General features: G+C 35.8%; 1 protein-coding gene across 5 annotated transcripts in view, besides 1 other annotated feature; it reads left to right on the forward strand.

Annotated features, from left to right (window-relative positions):
* The window catches only part of TMEM135 (transmembrane protein 135), a 290,891-nt gene that overhangs the window by 131,397 nt on the left and 139,609 nt on the right, over nucleotides 1-19,885 (forward strand). The gene's annotated exons all lie outside the window — the stretch shown is intronic.
* Nucleotides 4,377-4,671: a silencer, noted in NCBI's record as "tiled region #6561; K562 Repressive non-DNase unmatched - State 23:Low". NCBI's record gives its function as "represses a minimal TATA promoter and a strong SV40 promoter by Sharpr-MPRA in K562 cells {active_cell/tissue: K562}" and the evidence as "EXISTENCE:reporter gene assay evidence [ECO:0000049][PMID:27701403]".

Raw genomic sequence — 19,885 nt, forward strand, 5'->3', positions numbered from 1 at the left:
TGATCCTGTCATTATGATGCTAGCTGGTTATTTTGCCCATTAGTTGATGCAGTTTCTTCATAGTGTCGATGGTCTTTATAATTTGGTATGTTTTTGCAGTGGCTGGTACTGGTTTTTCCTTTCGATATTTAGTGCTTCCTTCAGGAGCTCTTGTGAGGCAGGCCTGGTGGTGACAAAATCTCTTAGCATTTGCTTGTCTGTAAAGGATTTTATTTCTTTTTCGCTTATGAAGCTTAGTTTGGTTGGATATAAAATTCTGGGTTGAAAATCTTTTCTTTAAGAATGTTGAATATTGGCCCTCACTCTCTTCTTGCTTGTAGGGTTTCTGTAGAGATACCTGCTGTTAGTCTGATGGACTTCCCGTTGTGGGTAACCTGACCTTTCTCTCTGGCTGCCCTTAACATATTTTCCTTCATTTCAACCTTGGTGAATCTGACAATTATGTATCTTGGGGTTGCTCTTCTCGAGGAGTATCTTTGTGGTGTTCTCTGTATTGCTTGAATTTGAATGTTGGCCTGTCTTGCTAAGTTGGGAAGTTCTTCTGGGTAATATCCTGAAGAGTGTTTTCAAACCTGGTTCCATTCTCCCCATCATTTTCAGGTACACCAATCAAACATAGGTTTGGTCTTTTCATATAGTCCCATATTTCTTGGAGGCTTCCTTCGTTCCTTTTTAGTCTTTTTTTTTTCTAATCTTGTCTTCGTTGATCTTCAGTCTCTGATATCCTTTTTCCACTTGATCAGTTTGGCTATTGATATGTGTTTATGCTTCACAAAGTTCTCATGCTGTGTTTTTCAGCTCCATCAGGTCATTTATTTTCTTCTCTAAACTGGTTATTCTAGTTAGCAATTCCTCTAACCTTTTTTCATGGTTTTTAGCTTCCTTGCATTGGGTTAGAACATGCTTCTTTACCTCAGAGGAGTTTGTTATTACCCACCTTCTGAAGCCTATTTCTGTCATTCCTCAAACTTATTCTCTGTCCAGTTTTGTTTCCTTCTGGCCAGGAGTTGTGATCCTTTGGAGGAGAAGAGGCATTCTGGTTTTTGGAATTTTCAGCCTTTTTGCACTGGTTTTTCCTTATCTTTGTGAATGTATCTACCTTTGTTCTTTGATGTTGGTGACCTTCCGATGGGGTTTCTGTGTGGACATCCTTTTTGTTGATGTTGTTGTTACTCCTTTCTGTTTGTTAAATTTTCTTTCTAACAGTCAGGCCCCTATGCTGCAGGTCTGTTGGAGTTTGCTGGAAGTCTACTCCAGACCCTGTTTGCATGGGTATTCACCAGCTGAGGCTGCAGAACAGCAAAGATTGCTGCGTGTTCCTTCCTCTGGAAGCTTTGTCCCAGAGTGGCATCCATCAGATGCCAGCTGGAGGTCTCCTGTATGAGGTGTCTGTTGACCTGTGCTGGGAGGTGTCTCCCAGTCAGAAGGCATGGGGGTCAAGGACTCACTTGAGGAGGCACTTTGTCCCTTAGCAGAGCTCCAGTGCTGTGCTGGGCGATCCACTGCTCTCTTCAGAGCTGGCAGGCAGGAACGTTTAAGTTTGTGGAAGCTGGGCCCACAGCCTCCTCTTCCCCAGGTTTTCTGTCCCAGGCAGATGGGAGTTCTATCTATAAGCCCCTGCCTGGGGCTGCTGGCTTTCTTTCAGAGATGCCCTGGCCAGAGAGCAAAGGGGGTACATCTTCAAACTGAGCTTTGAAGAAACTAATGAGCATTAAGCAAGGAGAAGAGGCCAAAAGGCTTTGCCAGTTAGGAGAAACAATATGAAAAGGGGCATAGTTGAAGATTAAAGTGAGGTACTAGGGACAGGTAACTTTAATTGCAGAATCTAAAAGGAAAGCAGGGTGGGTGGTGTCATGTTGAAGGGAAGTAACATTTGTTGAATGCCTTTATATGCCCTAGGTGCATTATAATTATCCAGCTCATTCATACATCAAAACAACTTTCCATTTTTGGTACTCTTATCACTGTTTTTCCAAAAGAGGTATTTCAGGTTCAAGACAGTGTAGTGTTTTTTTTTTTTTTAATCACATTTCCCTGAGAATTTGTGATATGAGTGCTGAGGGTATTGATAAGCTTGTGGTAGAATCAAGAATTAGTATTCTGTCTCCCAACTGGAGTAGCCAGTGTCCTATGCTAAGCCAGTACTGCAAACATATATGTTAAGCAGGGATTCATAGGTAACCTCATGACAAAATTATCAGCTAAGGGAAATAATGAAAAAATACTCGTCTGCATGTCAGTAGACTTTACTAGCTGAGACCTTGGACAGTTTACTGAACTCCTCACAACTTCAGCTTTATACTTCAGAAAATGAGCTGATTAGATGATCTTTAAGGTCCTATATGGCTTTAACATTTTCTGCTTACAGGCAGCTTTGTATACCCTTTCTGCCTAGGTAGTGGTGTCCGACCTTTTTGGCACGAGGGACCGGCTTCGTCGAAGACAATTTTTCCACGGGGGGCTTGGTTTTGGGATGAAACTGTTCTACCTCACATCATCATTAGATTATCAAAGGGAGCACACAACCTAGATCCCTCCCATGTGCAGTTCAAAATAGGGTTCACACTCTTATGAGGATCTGCTGCCACAGCTGATCTGACAGGAGGCCAAGCTCAGGCAGTAATGCTCGCTTGCTTGCTGCTCACCTCCTGTTGTGCGGCCTGGTTCCTAACAAGCCAGGGACCAGTACCTGTACATCTCCCAGGGGTTGGGAACCCCTGTGCTTAATTAAGCCTTTAAAGTTGTGGTTATAAACTTTCACCGAGCTTGAGAATTGCCCATAGAGCTCTTCAAAACTATAGGTACCTGGGCTCCATCACCAAAGACTTTGTCTATGAGGTCCAGTTTGGGGCTCCAGTATCTATATTTTTTAAAATGTCCGCTGATTTTAATACTTAGCTACTGTTGTAAACCACTGTTTTAGAAGTATTTTTTAATTCTTTCTTCTTTGAACTCAAGGAAGGTACACTCTGTATGAGACAAAACAGGTTAAGAAATAGAAAAGAAATTTAAAGTATATTTAAAGATTTTTGTATGTAAAGTAGAACAGAGTATTAAGGTTTGTTGCTGTTTTAGCAAGAAAGAAAAGTAGGTTTTTTTTTTTTACCTACTTTTGTTTTGTATTACGACACGGTATTAGGTATTCTGAATGATTTATTAGAATGGATTTTTTTTAAACCTTCCAGGAGCATGGTGTACATAAGTAATATAGAATATTTAATTTTAGACTGATTGCTAGAGTGAGAGTAGGGACTCTTTGTTAGGGATTTCTATTTCTTAAAGTTTAACACCTGGCTGGCACAAAATAAAGATCTCAATATATGTCTGATGAATAAGTAAAAGATTTATTGAGACAGAACTCAAGTGGCAAATACTACTTTAATTCAATCAGCTTTCATTTAAGATAAGTATATCTTTATGGATTTGTATGGATAATTATAAATATTGGTGTTATTTTAAAATCATGATATTTATAATACAGTGATAATTATTTTTGACATTAAATTTTTTCATGAAGAATATTCGTGAATTAAATAATTAAATAATATTTAAAGAATACAATTTACATATTTGATATTTCTTATGCACAAAGATACTTGATTATTCAGATATTAAGATATATTTCCAACATTACTAAAATTATTACACTTAATTTTAATATTATATTTAAAGAAACCAAGCATTTTCTTACTGTTGAATGTGAATTCTTTATACAAGGAAACCTAGAAGTAAACTCTCAAATATATATTTTTAATGTTGCATCTATTTTTTCTTATATATTTTTGTTATTATTTTTGTCTTTACTGCTTCCCTTCTAGCACTACCTCAGGAAAAAATGTAAGTCTTTAATAAGCAAAGTATTAGTTCAAGTAGTTCAAGTAGTGAAATCTCTGAGACTGATGCCTAGTAGAATGCCAGGAACTGGTGGCTTGTAAAATCTAATCAAATAAACAAATATTCATTGATAGCGTCCTAAAGGCAAATGTGATGCGTGGCACTGGAATCAGATCTAGTGTTCCTTCTTTTTTCTTTGTTCCCCTGAATAATTATTATGAGGTAGATTAGTAGATACTGGGTTTTAATTGTAAACTAAACCAAAATGGTTTCAGCTTTCAAAAAGTTTTATAGTCTAGTGGCTGAGTCATAACCTGCTACTTAGGACCTTGCCAGTGTTGTCTTCTGTAAACAGACCAGCAGCAAGCTCATGCATTGCTTTTGTGAGAAATAAATTAGATAATGTCTGTAAGGCAGCTAGCACAATGTCTGCCACATGTCTGCCACAAAATAAGCCTATTAGAATTAGCCTGTTCTAAATCTTAACTTATTTTTATTTTATTACATATGTTGTATTATTTTCTATATTGGGGTGAGTAAATGGAGATCTTATGTTTATTTATAACAGTGTGTGAACTGGTAGTTGATAATAAAAGACAGAGTTTTGATATTTTGATCCACAGCTATACTAATAGCAGTGTTATTGGCACTTCTGAGTGATTATTTCCTTCCTGTGTGAGTCATGATATTTGGGTTGGCATTTGTTGCCAGTGCGCTCTGCTGTCTAGTGCCAGTATCTCAGTAATATACAAAACATGTTTAATCACAAACTTGATGTGTACTACTCAACCAAATTCTGCTGATCATGTTTTTGTTTCTTTGCATAAAGTAAATATAACAAGGGAAGTGCAATAATAGAAAAAACTGACTTGTACAAACAAACATGAGAATACTGTTAGCCAAACAGGGTAAAGTTATAACATGGTGAAAACTTAGTTTTGATAATTGCAAGTCTTAGTTGAGCAGAAGTCCCACTGAGATTGATGAGACACTGGCCTTCTAGAAATGCAGACTAAGGCTTAGTTGATCCTGTCAAAGAAAATTGGATTATCACTTTTGCAATAAGACCTCTGATTTATCTATCATATTTTAATGGGAAGAAAATATTAAGATACCTTACACATGTCTATTGCCATTGAAATATACTTTCTATTAACATGATTCACTTCTGCCAATATCCCCATATCATGTAGGAAAAAAAAGAATTCTGACCACTCTAGAATGTTCCTGATAACTTTTTCAAGTCTATTCTTTTATTCTTCTGTTGTTGGTTTTCAAAGTGTATACTTAGTAAGCTCTACATAATCTATTAGAATATAGCCTAGAAGAGTTAGAATGATTTTTCCTTTTTAAGCAGCAATTCAAATATAGCAGTGTTAAAAAGCATGTGGGGAGAATGGATAGCATCTAGAGAAGAAGAGAGGAAATAAGTATGGAAAAGAATCTTGAGAAAAAGGAAAGAGATATGATATGGCCTAGGGAGTATTTATTATAAGCAAGGTACAGTAAGTCCTCACGTCATGTCATCGATAGCTCCTTGGAAACTGTGACTTTAAGTGAAATGGCTTACAGCAGGTCCTCCAATCATATCCCTTTGTTCAATGCCCTTTTGTTATAACATTGATGAGGGGAAAAATAGTTTTGTTTGTCATACATTGTTTCACTTAAAATAGCAGTTGTCAAGAACCTATCAAGGACATTATGTTCAGATTTACTGTATATACAGAGACATCCCAATCCTATCTCTAATGTGGTGGGAAGAAATTAGTTTTGAACACAGAACAGAAAGTTTGAGATAACTGAAGCCACTGGTCATCACTTTCAGGGTGATAAAGCATTAAAAAAGGCTTCAAGAAGGTTGTGGAGTTACTATTAATATCTTGCTCATGTAGAAGAAATGTATCTTTTAATAGCCATAAGTCTGGATGGTATAGATACTGAACCACAAGAGGAAGAAGACTGGACTAATTATAATAATATCTTGATATTTATTTCAGTTCTCCAATTCCATGAATCAAAACAACATATTATATTTTGGCAGGTTCTTAGAAAATTTATACTTCATGCCAGAATCACATCATAAAACATTAAGCTTCAGAATTTGTATTTTATTCTTTCTGGAATATTTTATCCTTGTCACTAAATCTGCTTTAAATAGCTTACTGTGTTATATGCATTATTGCATACTCCTGATGAACAAACAGTTTATTTTGAAAAGTTGGTGTAGACCAAGAAGGCCAAAGGTCAAACCAAGATTTTAAAAATATCAGATCATAATGTTTAAGTTTGTTGGCCTTGTCTGTACCAACTCTGTGTGTGCCTTTCTACACTGAGATGATTATCTTTTGAAATTCACTTATTTTCTTCATAATAGTCACTCTGCTTTTGATTTAAATACAAAAATAAATGTGTCATAATTTTGTCCTTAAACAAAACAAACAACATCTGTTTAAGTATGGAACAATTAGGTTTTATTTTTCAAAAATTAGAAGGGTTCTTAAGATCATATCAATTTGTTTTGATTCTAATGGGAAGAGCTTTAGGTCAAGAAAGCAATTATTTCCACATGGGTAAGGCTGTACCTCCGCTACACCAACCACCCACTAAACTTAAATTTGTCTACTCTGGTTGTATAGCTAGATGTGGTTGAATGTATTAGAAGACACAGGCTTTATTTAAGAAACAAAGATTTTAGATATATAGAAAATGTTTCTTTGTAGAAACATACCAAAAGAATTTTGCATATAATATTAGGTGAGTTCAGCGGCAAGTAACTTAAACACTTTGAATTAGCAAATAAATTTAACTTTATACATATGTGTATGGCCAAATGTAATTTTTACCATTTTGTTTGCACATCATTTTTATTTTTAATTGACTTTTTTGTTCTCAGTAGGTAAGTGCTGTAGTTTGGATATTTGACCCTCCAAACCTCATGTTGAAATTTGATCACCAGTGTTGGAGGTGGGGCCTAATGGGAGGTGTTTGGGTCATGGGGGCAGATTCCTTATCAATGACTTGGTGCCTTCCTTGTGGTAATGAGTGAGTTTCTATTCTGTTAGTTCCCGTGAGAGCTGGTTGTTAGAAAGAGCCTGGCACCTCCCTGCCCCTTCCTGTCTCCCCATGTGATGTCTTCACATGCCGGCTCCCCTTTGCCTTCTGTCATGAAGAGAAGCAGCTTGAGGCCCTTACCATATGCATATGCTAGCCCCATGTGTCTTGTACAGGCTGCAGAACCATGAGCCAAATGAATCCCTTTTTAAAAAAATAAATCACCCAATCTCAGGTATTCCTTTTTAGTAACACAAATGGACTAAGATAGTGAGTTTGCTATATAATGGCAAGTATTATTTGAGATGGTTCAGTAGGGATGTGGCAGGTCAGAACAGAGAAGATTTGTATTTAATGATAAAGAGATGTCATTAATTTCAAATAGGAGATTGTACAAATTTCCATATACCTTTGAATTTTAGAGGATTGAAGTCCATGGGAAAGATTGTTAAGGTAGGTTGAAGAGTTGAAGGAATTTGATAAAAGTCTGGTTTAGTGATTTTCACTGTAGTGGTTTTAGCCTAATGGCTGGGATTGAAGTCAGGTTATAGTGGGTTAGGGAGTGAGTGAATGAGAGGGGAGGATGAATAAGATTTTACACATGTATACCTCTTTTTTCAGGAAGGTGGTTTCAAGAAGAGAATTAAAGGACAGTATCAAGAGGGAAAGCTCAAGGGTTAAAAAACAGTGCATCCCATGCATATAACAACTTTCTTTTCTTATTGTTTAAAGTGTCCCATTAGCCAGTGCTGAGTGCAAATCTGGCTTTAATATTAATATAATATACATGCTAGCAGTCCTTTTGATATAATTTTCAGTAATGGATTGTAAAATCATCAAGTGAAAGAACATTTAATAGGCAGAATCACAGTTGACCGTAAAATCTCTGAGACTAATGAGAGCACATAGGGCATTGGCTAACTCCAGATTGCCCCAATTGAAAGCACTTTACCATTGCCTCGCCCTTTCATTTTAAAATATTTTCCACAAAATGTGGACCTAATCCATCCTACCTACATCCTACATCCTACTTGTGAGATTTTTAACCTCATTTATCATTGCTAATTTTGATAGAGTTCTGTATATCTAATGGAATGCTCTTAAGACAGTTGAAACCCTTCATTTCTTGTTATTTTTTCACTGACTGTTGCATTTAATAAGTATTTGGTGTTCATTATGAGAATACAGAATGAAGAAATACATGATTATTATAACTTTGAATGCCTTCTATAATCTTGGAAACTTATTAGATTTTAAAAACCAGTTTTATTGTGGTATAATAGCCATAAGTTATACTCACTGAAAGTGTGTAATTCAGTAATTTTTAAATATATTTATGGAGTTATATAGCCATAATCAAATCTAGTTTTTGAATATTTCTATCACTCTAAAAAATATTTGTTGCTATCACTTCCCATTGCTACTCCCAGGCCCAGGTAACCACTAATCTTTTTGTCTCTTTTTTTCCATTTCCGCCCTCTGTGGGTATATTGTAATACAGTTCTGACACTAACTGCCCATCAATTAGTATCAGACTCCACAGGTTTAAGAGTTTAGCCCTCCAGAAGACTGCTCTCAATTCAGATGCCAGCCACAAATGCAGAACATTCATGCTTCTGACGACTGACTATAAAATTGGAGATTCCCAAATGTATAGGTTCAGTAATTCTCTGGAATGACTCACAGAGCTCACTAAAAATGTTATATAGTTTTATTATAAAGGGTACACATAAGACAAGGTTTGGAAGGGACCTGGACCTAAAGCTTCCATGCCCTCTCCCTGTAGAGTCAGGGTACATTACCCTCTCTGCATGTCAGTGTGTCCACCAAGCCTCAGTGTTCAGAGCTTTTATTGGGGTTTCAGTATATGGGTGTGATTGATTAAATTATTGGCCATGTGATTGAACTGTCTCCAGCTCCCCTCCTGTCCTTGGAGGTGCTGTTGGCCTAGAGTTCCAACCCTCTAATCATGTGTTTGGTTTTTTTGGTGACCAGTCCCTAGCTGGAAGCTATCACCATGAGCAACCTCATCAGCATAGCAAAGACAGTACTGTCACCTTGAAATTCCAAGGGTTTTTGAAGCCCTGTGCCAGGAACTAGGAACAAAGTCCAGATATATTTTTATTATGCCACAATCTAAACTCTCTTTTTCTGAAAATTTTATATACATGTAATTATACAATATATGCCCTTTTGAGTCTGCCTTCCTTTCCTTAACATAATGCGTTTTGTTTTTTTGAGATGGAGTCTCACTGTCTTCCCCAGGCTGGAGTGATTTCAGCTCCCTGCAGCCTCTGCCTCCCAGGTTCAAGGGATTCTCCTGCCTGAGTCTCCTGAGTAGCTGGGACTACAGGGGTGCACCATTACACCTGGCTAATTTTTGTATTTTTAGTAGAGACGGGATTTCACCATGTTGGCCAGGTAAGTCTTGAACTCCTGACCTCAAGTGATCTGCCTGTCTCGGCCTCCCAAATTGCTGGGATTATAGGTGTGAGCCACCATGCCTGTCCAACATAATGTTTTTGAGGTTCATTCATATCAGTACTTTTTTTTTCCCTTTTCATGACTGAATAGTATTCCATTGTTTGGATTACATTTTGTTTATGGACATATTAATTGACCATTTGGATTATTTCCAGTTTTCAGTTATGAAAATTGGAGAGAAGTCTTTGGGTTGACATATGTTTTAATTTCTCTTGGCTTGATACCTAAATGTAGAATTGTTAGGTCATAAGAATAATGCTTAAAAAAAAAGTAGTTCCATTTTACATTGCCACTTGGCAGTGTATGAGGGGTCCAGTTTGTCAGCATCCTTGCCAACATTTGGTATGATCAGACTATTTTATTATAGCCATTCTAGAAATGTATGGTAATTTTTATGGTAATTTTCATTTCCCTAATGACTAGTGATGTTGGACTTCTTTTCATAGTGCTTATTGGGCATTTGTATACATTTTGTGAAATGTCTATTAAATTTTCTTGCCCTTTTTTCATGGGGTTTATTGTCTTATTACTGAATTGCAGGAGGTGACTTTGAAAAGTTTTTCATTTTGGATCAAATCTTTTATTAAATATAGGATTTGGGAATATATTTTCCCAGATCGTGGCCTGTGTTTTCACTTTCTAAATAGTGCTTTTTGAAGACAAAATGTTCTAAATTTTGATGATGTTCCATTCATTAATTTTTTTTTCTGTTAGGAGCTATACTTTTGCTATCATATCCAAGAAATCTTTACCTAGTTGGGGGTCACAAAGATTTTCTCCTTTGTTTTTCATTTAGGTCTGTGATCTGTTTTGAGTTTACTTTTAAATATGGTGTGAGATACTCTGGTTTCTCTTCAGATCATATAAGTCTTTGTTTCATCTTTTAAATACGGTTTGAGGTGAAAATCCAAGTTCATTTTTTTTTAATTTTTTGCCTGTGTGTATTCAGTTGTACCAGCAGCATTTTTTGAAAAGTCTGTCTTTGCCCATTGAATTGCTTTGGCATCTTTGTTAAAAAACAGTTGACCATAAATATCAGGATTTATGTCTAGAATTTCTGTGGTTCTGATTCTACTAATATGGAGCAAGACTCTGTCCCGTGCATTCCAACTAAAAACCCTGGACAGAATACACAGCACAGCTGTTTGAGGTCTCTGAAGAGTAAATAATAGCAGGAGGTTCAGGATGCACTTCCAACCTGGAGATATGACTGATACTGGCAAGTTTTCTGTTTTTTTCTGTTGTTGTTGTTGTTGTTTTCTCTGCCCTTTTCCCCTTTCTTTTTCTCCCAGCTTGGACTCCAGGGCATCTTATTCTTGGTCTGCACAACAGATGCAGACAGAAGAATCCTCTTTTTCTCTGTTTATGGTCAGAGGACTGGAAAGAAGGGCCCCTGTGCGAAGGAGTCTGTGTGGAACATCACTGTTTTCTTTGTGTTTTGTATTCTGGTTTTTGTTTTACTTTTCTGGTGGGACCCCAAGTAAGCCTTAATCATGAGGCCGTTCCCCTGCAATGGTAGTGGTGGTGGCAATGGCAACTATGCAGGCATTTAAAACTCTGAAAGATAATCTTTTTCTTTGACCAGATAAACGGGAAAAACGGGCCCCTGTAGCCCAAAGAATGAGGGGAGAATATCTGTTAGTTTTTGCTTTTTTCCCCCCTTTCTTGCCACTTCTCCCCAAGGCAGATGCAGTTGCAGAAAGTATATGAGTGTGTGTGGAGGCAAAAACACCAGTTTTGTAGCCAGAGAATTAAGATAAGGGGTCTAGGAGACAGATAGTGTTGGGGAAATTATGGAGAGGCAGTAGGTAGAGAAAAAGATGACCTAAATCTGTGCATGAAGACCCAGACATCCCTAAGCTGAGCATGTGTGGAACTTTTTCAAGGAGATGAAATAAAAAGTTTGATAACTGAACTACATTGTAGACCACCATCTTTGTCCTAGATTGGCTTTTAGGTGACACATATGAGGATAGAGTAAATATCACTAAAAAGACTTGGGAAACTGAATTGACTTTGAAGTCACAGCCCACCAGGTAGGTTGGGACTTGTGGTTTGAAGCTAACAGGGTTGATTGTCAACAACAACAAAAATATTAAAAACGAAAACAAAAACAAATCCATTCTCCAGAGGACCAAAAGCCTTTAGCATGACCAAGAGTGTCAAAATGCAATATTCAAAGTCTCCCTCCCCTTTCTGGGATACACTCCAACATTATTGGACATAACCACGACTCAGGGAAATCATCAACTGTTGTAGGAAAAACAGCAGCTAACAAATGCCATTCCTAAGATGACCTGGATGCTGGAATTATGACAAAGTTCTTAGAGCAGCTATTATAACTCTGTCCTGTTGAAGTCAGAGCAAACACTTTTGAAGTGAACAGAAAGAATGAAGTTCTCAGCAAGGAAAGTAGAAAAAGAACCAACAGAAACTTTTAGGATAGGAAGTAGCAATAATCCAAATATATTAAAATACTAAAATACCTAAAAATGTTCTAGATGAGTTCAACAGCAGAATGGAGGGGACAGAAAAAAGATTAAGTGAAATTGAAGAAAGGGCAATAGAAATTATAATATCTGAACAATAAAGATAAAAGACAATAAAATGAGCACAGTGTAGAGATCTATGGGATGATAGAAAAGGTATAACAATTACGTCATAAGAGACCCAGAGGAGAGGACAAAGAGGTTGGTACAGAAAAAATACTGAAGAAATAATAGCTGAAAACGTTCATCTTTGGTGAAAGACACATTTACAGATTCATAATATTCAGTAAATTCCAAAAATGCCAAATATCGTGTGATTCAGTTTATATGACATTCTGCAAAAGCAAAAACTGTAGACATGGAGACCCAGATCAGTGTTTGTCAGAGATTGGAAGCACAGGGAAGGGTTGATTACAAAGACAGAATGAGGGAATTTTCTGAGTGATGAAACTGTTCGGCATAGTGATACTAATAATGGATACATGACTCCATGTATTTGTTAAAACCTATAAATTATAGGTTAAAACTTATAAAGTAAATTTTATTGTAATTAAAATATTAAAAAGTAATTCTTAAGATAAAAAAAGTATTGAGAGCAGTAGTGCTCAGAACACTTTGGTTCTAATGATTTCACCTGGCATATTGAAGATTAAGGTGCACAATTAAAGAGGCTAGTTCTACAGATTCTTTTATAAGAATTGAATCATTGTAGTTTGTGTTTCTGTATGATGATAAACTATTCAATTTCCTTTTGAATGAGGGTGGCTTTTTTTTTTTAAAGAGAGAATTGTTTTCATGGAGTGTATTTGAAATGAGAGTAAGCCTTAATATTCTTATTAAAGTGTAAGAAAAAGAACTTGAAAAGCATTTGCCAAAACTAAAAATATAGAATAATATTTTTATATGTAATATCTACTAGTATTAAAATGAAGTTTCTACTTATTGCCTTTTCATGAAAACTTGTTTAGTGTGTTTGCATTTCAAATGAAATGTACGTTTTTTAGTTTTTATTAATATTATGTGTGAACAGTGTATATTGTGTGACCTACATGCTATTTTAAACAGATTCTGCACTCAAATTAAGATAAGAAAAAGGAACAAAAGCTCTCTTTTGATTGTGTTTAAGTTATGGTTTCTTGTCCATTGCCCAGACTTGTAATACTGGATCTTCTTCATCTATTACAGGTTGTTGAATATAATCTGTAATAATTGTATATACCTAGTTAGGATAAAATGATTTAAATGGTAGCACCTTGACTAAGGTGCTGTGAGTGGTAGATGATGAGAAATATGTGTTTGTGAGCAGAAATTTGAATCTCCTTGCATCACTAACATCTAAGTATATGGCAAATGCAATTTCTGTTTGCTTTTCTTCTTTCACAGTGTTTGATTATTAAAACAATTGACCTTAATGTTAATATTATGGAGATGTCTGAAGGTACTTTCATTTACTACTTTTTATTTTACTTCATGGAAGATCAGATTTCCTTTATGAAATATTTTTTTCTCTAGAAAATTTTTGTGTTTTTTAACTGTTTTCTAGACACAGGTGAATGTAATAATAAATGAGCTATGGTTTCTGCTTTCATAGATCTCACTTTTAAAATTGTTTCATTTGTGTTTTTAAATTTTTCTCTTGAATATTTACTGCTAAATATTTTAAATGTGATTTTCTTTGTGTAATGGCCTACTTTTATATAGAATATAACTAGAATTATATTTATCTTAGGATCTTAGTATGGTATTAGATAGAATTTTTAATCATATGCATATAATCTGTTAGGATTTGATTACTTTTAATTCCAGGAGAACATGTTTCCAAGAGTTGAGGTTAATGGAGGGCAATGAGAGAAAGCTATTGATTGAAGCTGAAAGCTCTACTGTATCTGAATTGTAGCTGTCTAAATTACTGATTTTTTAAAATTAACATGAGTTGGTAATCACTAATTTTTTTTTTTTTTTTTTTTTTTTTGAGACAGAGTCTTGCTCTGTCGCCCAGGCTGGAGTGCAGTGGCTCAATCTTGGCTCACTGCAACCTCTGCCTCCTGGGTTCAAGCGATTCTCCTGCCTCAGCCTCCTGAGTAGTTGGGATTACAGGTGTGTGCCACCACGCCTGGTTAATTTTTGTATTTTTAGTAGTGACGGGGTTTCACCATGTTGGTCAGGCTGGGCTCGAACTCCTGACCTTGTGATCTGCCTGCCTCAGCCTCCCCAAGTGTGGGGATTACAGGTGTGAGCCACCACACCTGGCTATCACTAAAATTTTTTTGTTATTTGTTTTCTCTATACTCAATAGTAAAGTTAAAGGTAAGTTAAATTTAGCTTTTAATGTTTTAATTCCTAAAACACTATTTTCAAAAAGGACATTGCGGTTAAATTGTCTGATAAAAGTAAGGTGGATTTCTTAGGATAATTGAAATGTATGCATTGACACTAAAACTTGTGAATGGGCTTACTTTCTATATGCTATGTGTTTAAAAATTCTGGCCAGGTGCGGTGGCTCACGCCTGTAATCCCAGCACTTTGGGAGGCTGAGGTGGGTGGATCACCTGAGGTCAGGAGTTCGAGACCAGCCTGGCTAACACGGTAAAACGCCATCTCTACTAAAAATACAAAAATTAGCTGGGCGTGGTGGCGGGCGCCTGTAATCCCAGCTAGTTGGGAGGCTGAGGCAGAAGAATCGCTTGAACCTGGGAGGTGGAGGTTGCAGTGAGCTGAGATCATGCCATCACACTCCAACTTGGGCAACAGAGCCAGACTTCGTCGCAAAAAAAAAAAAAAAAAAAAAAAATCCGAGAGTTAAACGAATATTTACCTTTTTTGTTCTAAGAGCACGTTCAGTGAACATTTTCTACTTAGAAAAATTTTGCAATATATTTTTCAAGTATTTTAGAATGTTTTAACTTCATAAAGTACTTAGTGTCATAGTTGTTTTGTTTGTTCTTTTAGAATATTATATGTGAAATTAAAACCTTGTCTCTGATTTGTTTTGTGAATTATCTGTGATCCAAAGAAGTCATCAAAAAATTAAAGAATGGGTATATGAATATCACATATTTATTGCACAAGAACTGTTTGATTTTCGATAGCCTTTCTATTTAATATTACCTGAATAATTGGATTAATTATTTTATTTAACAGTTTTCAGCCTTCAGTAGTAATAGAGTATGACTTTTAATGTTGGTCTGGGAAAAATGCATCATGAGGAATTAATCTGTAATTTAGACTAAGAAAATGGCCTTTGGGTAAAAAATTCATAGAATGAAGGGTCTGACGATTACTTTAGGTCTTTAAAAACAAAGACAATACATAGTGAATTTTAGAACTGCTTAGCTCATATAGTAAATGAAGGAGTTTCTAGTGGCAAATATGTTTGAGAAACTATAGATATGACAAATTGTGTGGACTTTATGTGTATTTCATAGTGTGTGTAAGATGCCCCCCTCTTTTTTTCCCTTAAATAGTATTGTGTTATATAAGAGACTCTAAATATAATGAAATCACTGTCTTTATTCTGTATAGATTACTTTTTGTATTGAATGCCTGTAGCTTCTAGCACAATGCCTGGAATGTTGATGTTGTTACATACTCTTATAAGTTAACAATGATTTATAAGAATTTAATGTACCCAAGATGGAAGTATTAACACACGTTGGTTTACCTTTGTGAAAACCCAGTATGGCAAACATCCTGTTTGCTAAATAAAAACTTAGGGTGCCACTTTGTATATTATAAAATGATTTTTCAGTTAAAATTTCTTTTTATTTTAGAAAATTTTAAACTTATACAAAAGTAAAGAGGATAATCCCCCAATGTAGCCATCATCCAGTTTTAATAATTCTCACTGATTGCCAGTCTTCTTTATATCCCTAACCACTACTACCTTCCCTCAATAATTTTGAAGCAAATTTCAGACATCATATCACTCTATGTAAATATTTCAGTATGTATCCTTAGAAGATAAGGACTCTCCTTTTAAAAATATAAACACAATGCTATTCATCTCACTGAAAAATTTTTCCTTATTATCGTATTTAGTCAGTGTTCACATTTTCCCAGTCACCTCTCTCTCATTTGTTAAAATCAGAATCCAGATAAGATCTATATGTTCCAGTTAGTTAAGATCTTAAATTTATTTGAATTGGTTGGTTCCCCCCTCATCCCTCTCTCTATGGTTTCCTAGAAATTTATTGAAGAAACCAGACCGTAAAGCTTCTCACAGTCTGATTTTTGCTGATCCTTGTGGTATTCTTTCTTGGTTCTCTGTATTTCCTGCAAATCAGTAATAGATCTAGAGGCTTGATTAAATTCATATGTGGTGTTTTTTTTTCTCCTCTCAGAAATAAATCATAATTGGTTTTGTGTACTTCCATGAAGAGACACATAATATCTGGTTGGCTTTGTTTGTATGTCTTGTTAGCAGTCATTGGTGACGATTACCTATCATTACTTGTGTTTATTAGGCTTGCAAAATGGATATATTCTTTTATCAGTTAGAATACCTGTGTAAAGGGAAACTTGTATTCTTCAACTATTTGGTTGCCTTTCATATGGGAAAGATAAGATAAAGTCTTGATTTTTCTCCCTTTATTTAACATTATTCAAAATGATGCATTAGTTTATAAAAATCCTCAAAAGATGAGTAATGATGTTTTATAAATCATTATTAGGAAATCATAGATTTAAACATATTTTGTGTGTTTCAATCTGTTGTAGTTATCCTTCTTTTTTTTTTGTGAGACAGAGGTTCATTCTGTCACCAGGCTAGAGTTCAGTGGCGTGATCTTGGCTCACTGCAACATTTGTCTCCCAGGTTCAAGTGATTCTCCTGCCTCAGCCTCCCGAGTAGCTGGGACTACAGGCATGTGCCACTACATTCAGCTATTTTTTGTATTTTTAGTGGAGACGGGGTTTCACCATGTTGGCCAGGATGGTCTCAATCTCTTGACTTCATGATCTGCCCGCCTTGGCCTCCCAAAGTGCTGGGATTAAAGGCATGAGCCACCGTGCCCAGCTGTAGTTATCCTTCTTGAAGGTAAAGTTGTCCCTTTTTTGGCCAGTGGAAACCTCTACAAGTTGCCTTCTGAATCCTTTGGCTATAACCCTAGTAGTAGTCTGGTAAGATAAGAAGTTCTAGGTTCATCTTGTATAGCTCCTGGCCCCAGCTACAATCAGCCATTTCCCCAAGGGACTGTTGTTACTTCACAAAAGGATTTTTAACTTATATAGTGTTTTATTATTTAAGAGTTACTCATACCCCATGAATTAAAGTTTTCATCTGATATAATTTTGGTTGTATAGGATATAGGAGTGGATGATTTTAAAAGATTTGTCCACTATGAAGTTAGTAGTGTGGGATTTAGTTTTCCCCTTGAGAAATCTGTTACTTACAATAAAGTTCATCTTTTTTTGTTAATAAAGTTTATCTTTAAAGCTGATTAAAATTTTTCTCACAGGAGATTTGAATAATTCACATTGTAATACTCATTTAACCTCGTATATATTTATTAAAATTATCTCCACTTAATAGTAGGAAAATATAAAGATTTATAAAATTATGATTTTGTTTGTGAAACATTTTGAAACTCAGTAATTAGAGTCACCTGATTTATGGCCTAATTTTTTTACTCTGTGATATCCCACATTTTGATTTAAAATTGGTGGAGGAATGAGCAGAAAGTGATTTTGTAAAACAAGAGAGGGGAAATATTAAGGATAATAAGGATAATAAAACAATGTTTATAGGGGATACACTAGAAAATATAATTATTGTGTAGTTAATACTATGGGTACTTTGATTTTATGATTTATAATCAGGTGGGTCTTATCTAACATAATAGTTTGACCAAATGCTTATGATTAGCTAAGAATATTTTACTTTATCCTACTGGGTTCTCAAACTTATTTTGACTTTGAGATTTTAAATGTTTAGTGCTTGCTTTGTGTCTCATGGGGAGCTATGTCAAGCCAAGTTAAGAATTCATTAATAAAACTCTTACAATTTATTTCCCACAGAGGGTTAGCTTGAACTTATGTGCCAGAGGTTACATAGCGGTGCTTCACAGAAAGTCTCCAAGGTAAAGAGCAATAAGTTAGAGGGGCCAGCAGGGAAAGTATGTGTACTAAGTTGACCATGTGGAATACCTGAGGCCAGATTCTGATTAATGTGTTCATGTGAGATGAAAACAGGGAATGGAGAAATAGTTACTATTTGTCATAAAGTATTGTGGTTGAGTTGGAACACTAACTGCCAAATCTAATAGATCCTATTGAACTCGATATAACCCTCCCATGGGCTTTGGGGATCTTGCAGATCTTGACCTTAACTGTCATGGATCCTCAAACCACACTCTCTTTGTGCCCTAACAAAATGTAGTTTGTTGTAATGATTGTATGGTAAGATGAGCTGAAACATGCTGTGCGTGTATGTGTCTGTATGCACTTGTGTGTGAACGTAGTTGCCATTAAATTTACTTAATGCGTATAGTACTTTGACTATTGATAATCTTTTGATGGTATTTTATAACTTCAAATCTTAAAGATTGGAACATTTTTCAACCAAATTGTAAAATTGCAAAGAAAACATCTAGCCACCATCCAATTACAACAACTTCTTGTTGTTTGTGGGAAAATAAGCAAAATCAGATTCTTTTACCGTTCATTCATCTAGTACAGAATATTACTTATGCCTGGCTAGGGGCTGTTTATTTGCCAGTCTTTCAAAATTAAATCTTCTTAGACTATATTATACTTAGAGACCCAGTTAATGTTGTCTTTATCTGTCTTTGTTTAGAAATAGTGTTTTGTGTTTATGCTACAGGATATTTTGCTAAAGATTATTTATTCAGAATTCCCACTTACAAGTTCAGTGTTGAACAATGAGAGAGAGAGCTCCCTTACAGAACCCCCTTTGTTGTGATGGTGAAGTTCAGCAGATCGCTATGTGGTGTTCTTATGCTTGATTCTTTAGAGTGTTGTAGAGGAAGCCAGTGTAGTTTGTACAGTCATATTTTTGTTCATACGCCACCCCTCAATCTCATACAGAGGGCTTTATGATGAAGTCTTGGAGTTTCTCTAGGTTAATTGAATTGAGCCAATTTGAATTCAAGTCTGAAAAAAATAAGAAGTTATAGCCTAGCTTTCTGTATTTTGTCTCGTTTTATTCACCCTCTTTTTACCCTTATCTTGTCTTTTAATGTTTCCAGTGGGTAGCTAAAAAATAATAGAAGCGGCCTGGGCGTGGTAGCTCATGCCTGTAATCCCAGCACTTTGGGAGACTGAGGTGGGTGGATCACCTGAGGTTAGGAGTTCGAGACCAGCCTGGCCAACATGATGAAACCCCCCCTCTCCACTAAAAATACAAAAATTAGCCAGGTATGGAGGCTGGCGCCTGTAATCCCAGATACTCAGGAGGCTGAGGCAGGAGAATCGCTAGAAGCCAGTAGGTGGAGGTTGCAGTGGGCCAGGATCGCGCCATTGCACTCCAGCCTGGGTGACAAGAGTGAAACTCAGTCTCAAAAAAAAAAAAATTATAGAAGCAATATACACTATTAATACTTGACAAAATTTCAAAATATGTAAAAATGTATAAAGTAAAAAACGAGTATCCCTGTTTTTTCACTCTTTTCTATTCTTGCCTTCTGGATTAACCACTGTTAATGGTTTGATGTATCCTTGACTGTTTTGTATTCATCTTCACATAAATGCATACATCTATATGAACATTTGGTACATGTGCCAGTTCAACTTATTCTTCATAACTATAATTATTCCATAGTATAGTTATACCATAATTTATTTACTCATTCTGTTGTTAAACATTTGGGTTGTGTTCAATATTTCATGTCTGTAATAATGCTATTCCTTACTTTTCCTTTTTTCTTTCCTTTCCTTTCTTTCCTTCCTTTTCCGTTTCCCTTTTCCTTTTCCTTTCCCTTTCCCTTTTCCTTTCCCTTTCCCTTTCCTTTCCCTTTCCCTTTCCTTTCTTTGCTTTCTTTCTTCTCACTCTGCCTCCCAGGCTGGAGTAC

Source organism: Homo sapiens, chromosome 11 (genome assembly GCF_000001405.40).
Source record: "Homo sapiens chromosome 11, GRCh38.p14 Primary Assembly".
NCBI classification, from domain to species: domain Eukaryota; kingdom Metazoa; phylum Chordata; class Mammalia; order Primates; family Hominidae; genus Homo; species Homo sapiens.